General features: G+C 36.9%; 1 long non-coding RNA gene across 1 annotated transcript; it reads right to left on the bottom strand.

The window, feature by feature from the left end:
* Positions 1-2774: 2774 nt before the first annotated feature.
* On the bottom strand, positions 2775-6237 carry LOC105374172 (uncharacterized). Its single transcript, XR_924604.2, has 3 exons — positions 6169-6237; positions 5259-5328; positions 2775-2951 (listed from the first exon to the last, which is right to left on the bottom strand). It is a non-coding gene; the product is annotated as an uncharacterized LOC105374172 (long non-coding RNA).
* Between the last annotated feature and the right edge of the window lie 1581 nt (positions 6238-7818).

The raw sequence follows: 7818 nt of genomic DNA, 5'->3' as shown, positions 1-7818 counted from the left end.
ATTTGAAACTAGATCCTGGTTTTAATTTTTTCATGCTATGTGATCAGTGCTGGCTTTAGGCCATGCATCCTTTTAAGTTGCAAACCTCTTTCCAGGCAGAACATTGTTGGAGGTTATTAGAGCTGCCACTTCCCTCAGCACTGGAGTCTCATGGGATCAGCTCTTTTCCATGGGTCTGGGGCCTACGTAAAGAACGTATATTCAATGCATTTAACTTTTGTGACCAGGTAACCACATTTCCCAGCTTTATGACTTATACAAAATATGGAACAAGGTTTATCCAAGATATAAAATCTCACCACAGTTTTCTGTATTGTATTCCAAAAGCTAAAGCAGCTTAAACATTTAACATTACTATTGAACAGGACATTAGGAATCACAATCTCCTATCAGATTAAATATTAATTAATTGCAGTGATGATAGAAAACAAGGACACACTGAAACTTCCTGAAATGTGAATGGAGCTTATTGTTGTACAAAAAACACTGTTTTGAGAGTTGGCTTCTGTGTGGCAATGGCTACTAATTAACTCTAAGTCCATTGCTGAGTGACTTCCATTTCTGGCCTCCCTTCCTTATCTGTAAAATGGGTAGGTTGAAATAGGTTATCTAAGATTCTTTCTTGCTATGAAACTGTGTGTTTTATGCATCATAGCTTGTTCAATATATTTTAGGTATGAATGATTCTGAAACCATCTGTGTATATTAGCCTTGAAAAAAGAAAAAGTTTCTGGTTGAGAAAAAATGCATAATTTATTTTTCACCTATGCTTCTACTTAAAAACTGTGTGTCACTAAAAATCAATTGAAAGGCAGCTGACAGAACGGGAGAGAATATGTGCAAATTGTTTATCTGACAAGGAACTGATATCCCAAACATATAAGGAATGAAAACAACTCAATAGCAAAAAACAAAACAACCAGATTGAAAAATGAACTGAGAACCTGAATAGACATTTCTCAAAAGAAAACATACAAATGGCCAACAGGTATATGAAAAGGTGCTCAACATCACTAATCGTCAGAGAAACATGATTCAAACCTCCAGTGGGCTATCGCTTCACACCTATTAGGATGGCTATTATCTAAAGGACAAAACAAGTGAGGCTGTGGAGAAAAGGGAGCCTTTGAACACTGGGGTGGGAATGTAAATTGGTACAGCTATTAAGGAAAAATTGTATGGCGATTCCTCAAAAACTTAAAAATAAGCCAGGTGCAGTGGCTCAGGCCTGTAATCCCAGCCTTTTGGGAGGCCTAGTTGGGAGGATCACTTGAGTCCAGGAGTTCCAGGCCAGCCTGGGCAACATGACAAGACCCCATCTCCACCAAGAAAAAAAAAAAATTAGCTGGATGTGGTGGTGTGAGCCTGTTCTCCCAGCTACTTGGCAGGCTGAGGCGGGAGGTTGAGGCTGCAGTGAATGGTGTTTACACCACTGTGCACTCCAGCCTGGGTGACAGAATGAGAACATGTTTCAAAAAATAAAATAAAATAAAATAAAATAAAATAAAATAAAATAAAATAAAATAAAATAAAAACAGAATTAGCATACAAGCCAGGAATCCCACTTCTGGGTGGTATATCCAAAGGAAATAAAATCAGTATCTCAAAGACATATCTGCACACCCATGTTCATTGCAGCATTATTCACAATAGCCAAGATATATTGGAAACAACCTACGTGTTCATCAACAGATGAATGGATTAAAAATGTGGGGGGGGGGGGTGTGTGTGTATTCAGCCTAAAAAAAAGGAAATCCTACCATTTTTGACAACATGGATTAACCTGGGAGGACATTATGCCAAGTGAATAAGCCAGAGACAGAAAGACAAACATTGCATGATCTTACTTTTATATGGAATCTAAACATGCTAAACTCAGAGAGTGGAATGGTGGTTGCTGGGAGCCAGGAGGTGGGTGGGGAAATTGGGAAATAATGACGAAAATGTCCGAAGGTTCAGTTACATGGGATGAAGAAGTTCTGGTGATCTAATGTACAGTATGCTGACTATAATGAATAATACTCTATTTTATATTTGAAAATTTGCTAAGAAAGTTTATCTTAAGTGTTCTCACCACACACACAAAATGGTAATTACGTGTGATAATGGGTATGTTAATTAGCTTGATTGTGGTAATCATTTTACAATGTATACATGTATACATATCTCAGAAAGTCACATTGCATACCTTAAATATATACAATTTTTATTTGTCAAGTATACCTCAATAAAACTGGAGAAAAATCAATATAATTTCTAACATTTTGTACCTTTGACTCAAGAACAATTAATTATTTTCTGCTTTTCAGATTTGTTTTGGTGGATATGCAACCTAGAGCACCATGCATCTATCTTGTCTGTATTACAGTTTGTTAATTTGAAAAACTCTCTGAGTAAATTTGGTGAGGAGGCTGGCATGGGCCATTTTAAGTTTGAGATGGTGGCAGAACATTCCAGTTGAAATGCAGTGAAGACAATGAGAAATAAGAAGCAAGGAGCAAACATTTTACATTTTATTTGAATTAGGTGTTTGGGATCTTTTCAGCAGCCAACACAATAATAGGGGAAATAAAATGCTGTTGCTAAGCCAAAGCCCCTCCACATTCATATTACTTATCTGCAAGTGTGTGGTTTTTGTTCTGGCCCGAATGAGAGAGAGCATGGAGAGTTCTTCATTTGATGTTTGTTTGTGAGTGTGATGTCATATTTCTCTGACCAGGAGTATTGCTGGACTAAATTTTCTTGACTTAAGGATCACAAGGTCTATAATGCATATGCATGGGAGGGAATGTATATGCATGGGAGGGAGAGAATCTAAACACATACCTAATGTGAGACTTCTGCAGATGTCAGTTATCTTGGAATTGCATTACACCTATTTTTGTTTTTCTGGAACTTATACTACAGCTTTTATTTTTTTGTCCTGATGCGTTCTCTTCTTTGGATTTTACCTGAGTAGACAAGCATAAAATGAAGTTCTCACTGCATTTTACTAATGTCAGGAATTCTTGCAGCTCAATATTACCTATTAGTAACAGTCTCCACTCCAGGGACTTGCAGTGGATGCTCTATACACCACCCAGGACCCCTTTGTTCCACCAGCTGCCCTGAGTGCTGCATGCTGACTGTTCATAGCTGAGTCCTTCCTCAGGCACTGCTCTTGGACAAAAGGGGTGGTCTTGGCTCAGTTTCTATCCCCTTGTGAGTACGATCCACTTGACTGGTCAGTGTGGAGGTACAAAGGCCTGGTTCCCTTGCCACATGTTTGGACAACTCTGAGGGGCCATCCCTCTTCTATGGCTTTCCATACAATTCATGGAAGCTCAGCCAATGATGATTGGTCACTGCCAATCATCATTCACCCTTTTCCTCTCTACTCAGTCCTGCTTTCATTTCTACCTCACAGGTATTGTTCCCTAGAGCCCTTCCCAGTAAGCCTCCTTGCAGGCTAATCTCAGCTTAAGCCTCTGTTTTGCAGGGACAGACCAAAGACAGGACCCTTTTCCCATTTAATGTTGTAAGCATCTTCTCTACTGTCTACATTGGATCCTTAGTAAGATGAACTCTTCTAAAAAAGTGAGTGTTGGCTGCCCAGAATCTTAATCCATTATATTAAGTGTTTGTATTTTTCACTCTGTGTCTAGTACCTTAAAAAAAAATACATAGGTGTAATTTTATAATTCTGGGTAAAAATAACTCCTTTTACTTATTGCAAGTATCTTTAAAACCTCATTCCCAGGCCGGGCGCTGTGGCTTACGCCTGTAATCCCAGTATTTTGGGAGGCCAAGGCGGGTAGATCACGAGGTCAGGAGTTCAAGACCAGCCTGGCCAAAATGGTGAAACCCCTTCTCTACTAAAAATGCACAAAAATTAGCCAGGGGTGGTGGCAGACACCTGTAATCCCAGCTACTTGGGAGGCTGAGGAAGAGAACTGCTTGAACTCGGGAGGTGGAGGTTGCAGTGAGCCGAGATCGTGCTACTGTACCCCAGCCTGGGTGACAGAGCAAGTCTCCATCTCAAAAACAAAACAAAACGAAAAACAAAAAAAAGAAAACCCTAATTCCCTCTTTTGACATCATATCGGACTAGTCTTTAAACAATTACAAGATACTGCTCAGTATAATAATCCTTGCCTCTTTTAATCATGTCTATGTATGATTTAGCTCACTTGCCTTTCTTATCCTCATTAGAATGAAAAATTAAAATGCTTGACCTTGGTTCCATAAGAAATAATTCATGTAGCTGAACACATACGTAACTGGATTTTTGTCTTATGATTAATTATTTATTTTTTCATTGTTGTGATTCAAATGACAAACATAAAAAAAATGAAACTTTCAAAGAGATAGCCTAAGCTGGTGTTAATTAGTACCAGTTCATGCATCCATGCCCTGGACTTAGTATGAAAAGTCCATTTTTCTATTTTGTAAATATTTGGAGTTTTTTTAGGTCATAATTGAACTTGGTAACTTTTGTCCACCTTTTAACCAAGCCAAAAAAGATATTCAACTGAGATAAATGATATCTGGCTTTTAAAGAGATGTTGGGGTTTTAGTATTATGATCTCTTACAAGATTTAGAAATTAGCAAACAAAATAGATTTTACATCAAAATGACAGCCTGAAATTTCAATTGTTATGTATATATACCAATTGAATAGTAATTCTATTTCTCTAGTAAATGAAAGAATGCATAACTTTCTCTTATGAACCAAAATCATGGCTAGGCAGAATTGAAATAAAGATGCATTTAAAAATTTATTTTAAACTGAAGCTCCCAAAATTTTTGTACATCGAATGTAATATTTGACACCTTTAATTTGGATTATTCCAAACCCAAGATGTTTTAGCCCCATATAGTTTGTATAATAGATGCTTTCCTTTATCAAATGCCAGACATCTGTATGAATTGATAGTATTAGAGTCATGATGTTCAGACTGGGGCAAAGAATACTGTGTCATTAACACCCACTTTGAAGGCTACATGAAAGCAGTTGCAGTTAAAGCCTGCCCTGCCATCATGAACCTGGCAAAAAGGCACCATGGCTATGGCATGGGAAAAAAGAGCCAAGTGTTCAAATAGCATGTGAGACACACATACTATTTATAGAGTTCAGAGAGTAGCCTTTTAAAAGAATTTTACTAGGCTCCCATAATCTTTCTTGGAAGCCTGTTCTATTCAATCTATGCTTCCACTTGAACATTAAATATCAGGGGACTCTGGTTAGAAGTTTCAGAAAATAATTGTTATTTCTTACCTTCTCTAACCTAGGTTGATCAACGTTTTTCTCTGAGACCAATTCCAGCTCTTCCACATTTCACTTGTGTCTCTCAGAGCCAATGAAGAAAAACCAAACATAAATATAAATTGCATTAATGCTGATATTTAAGGGAATAATACACTCCTTGAAAGAGCTAAATGATAATCCAATATATGAATGAATAAATGGAAGAATCACCTAAGTATTTGTCAGATTTATGAGGTGTTACATATTCATTATTAATATTTAGAAGCAGGAAATATTGCCTATTTCTGTTGTCCTGATGAAATCTGATATGTTTCCAAATTGATTTGGTTATTATTTTTCCACTGTGTTTTCTTTGGTTGCAGAAAATGTTATGGGGCATAAAAAAGAGAGTGAGAGCTTAGAGTCAAATAAGTTTGGGAAATTCTTTGTTAAATTGCTTGTTTACTGTAGGACTTCTCAAAACCTTTTATATAAAAATGTATTATGAGTCTTCAAGAAAGGGCTATCGTGGGTAGCATTGATCTAAATTGTTAGATCACAAAATCTTTTTTTATGTGGCCATTCATTAACATCTATCTGAAAAAGGTTTGTGGATCTGTTTTGAAAATGCTGACCTACAGTTTTGTTTTTTGAGCATAATATTTTTGAGGCTTTCTAGCTTTGTAAATGGAATTCAAAACTTTAGATTTTTTTTTCAGTGCATTGAAAATTGCTATAATATGCAAATAATTTGTACTTCTTTCAGTTTCTTCTACGATAAGATGAGCCAGACGATATAAGCTGTCCTGCACTTGAGGATTGATGAGAATTATATTTTGAGCAACACAACTTTCTTAAGCAAAATCATTTCTCTGTGTTTTGACTTTTTAACCAGCAAACAAGCAATTGAGTGGATGCAAAGATTCATGGATTCACTTACCGATTCATGGACTCAAGGATTCGTGGTGGTGTGAGTGAATTGGGCTTTCTGGCACTGTCCTTGTTTCCCATGCAGGCATGCTGCTGTCTGGAGGCCTCAGTAGTCCACATGGAGGAAAGGGTCTACTATGTTGAAGAAGCTGCCCCTGGCAGCTGACTGCCTGATAACACCTTATGTGCTGGGGGAATGTAGGTGGGTACATATCAGCACATAGGGGCCTATACTAAAAAAGGATACATTTCAATTTTAAACCATGTTACCATCTTCTTGGTACCAGATTTACAAAATTTCGAATACCACTTAGTACCACTGAGGCATCTAGCATCTATAGAGCATCTAATAATATAACCCAGTTTGAAATTTTTTACTGTACTATTGTACCTACACAAGGTTTTGATGAAACAGGCCTGGCCATGGTCTACTACAATATGGTTATTGATCTATATTTCTGCCTTCTACTTATTCTTGGGTCACTTTAAATCATTTATGCTTCTAGGCCATGCACAGTGGCTCATGCCTGTAATCCCAGCACTTTGGGAGGCTAAAGAAGGCGGATCACTTGAGCTCAGGAGTTCAAGACCGACCTGGGCAAAATGGTGAAACCCCATCTCTGCAATTACAAAAAAAAAAAAAAGTTAAAAAAAAAAGATAAAAAGAAAATTTATGCTTCTGTATAAAATTATGTATTTTATCACCTTAAAAAAATCTTACTTCTCAACATAGTATGAGACACAGAAATCATGTCTTTTTATCTTTCCATTCCCAGTCACCAGCACATTGCCTTGTACTGGGTAGACATTTACAAATGTAGTGGAGTGAGGGAATCATATTTGTAGTCAGTGCTGTCATTCTTTATAGTGTCAGCCTGCACAAGTTAGTGGTAACTATCATTTATTGAGTGCCAAATATTTTTGCCAATGCTCACCATATATTGTTCCTAATTTTTACAATGATCTCATAAGAATATTCTTGTCTTCATTTAACGGAAGAAAAAAACAAAACTTAATTAGTTAGAAAAGGCTATATGTCAATTTTTTTTTCTTTGGAAGCTTTGTAGCCATATATTTCTAATAAACTGGATTATTGGTTCTCTCTGATTCCCAGTCCCTCCCACTTCCCATACTAGTATACTACCATGTGTCTCATGGAAGTGAGATAACCATGCAAGATACGCTATCACTGATTTATTCAGTAAATATATACCAAGTGCCTCCTTTAGGGCCAATAATCTGCTGAATGCTGTGTGTGGGAACATACAGAAGGAAAATAACCATAATAGTAGCAAACACTTATTGGGGGCTTACTATGTGCCAGATATTACTCTAAGAACATTATTTGCAATAACTTAATCTTCTAAAATATGTATTTTTATTGTCCTTTTATAATGCAGGAGAGACGGGCACAGGATTGCTGTGTAATTTACCCAAGGCCACACAGCTATTAAGTGGCAGAGCCATTACTGAAACCCAAGACATCTGACTTCAAAGGCGAACTGCCTCTTGTACTCAATCCCTTATGCCAATGAGTTTATAGCCTAATTTGAAAGCAAACCAGAAATACACCATATATAGATTTCAGAATGCCCATACAATTTTGAAAACATATGATTTAAACTTCATACCAAAGAATTCAAGATAGGAAAATATTTTC

The sequence above is a fragment of the Homo sapiens genome, chromosome 3, assembly GCF_000001405.40.
Source record: "Homo sapiens chromosome 3, GRCh38.p14 Primary Assembly".
Lineage (NCBI taxonomy): Eukaryota > Metazoa > Chordata > Mammalia > Primates > Hominidae > Homo > Homo sapiens.
This window is presented reverse-complemented; position numbering and strand designations above follow the sequence as displayed.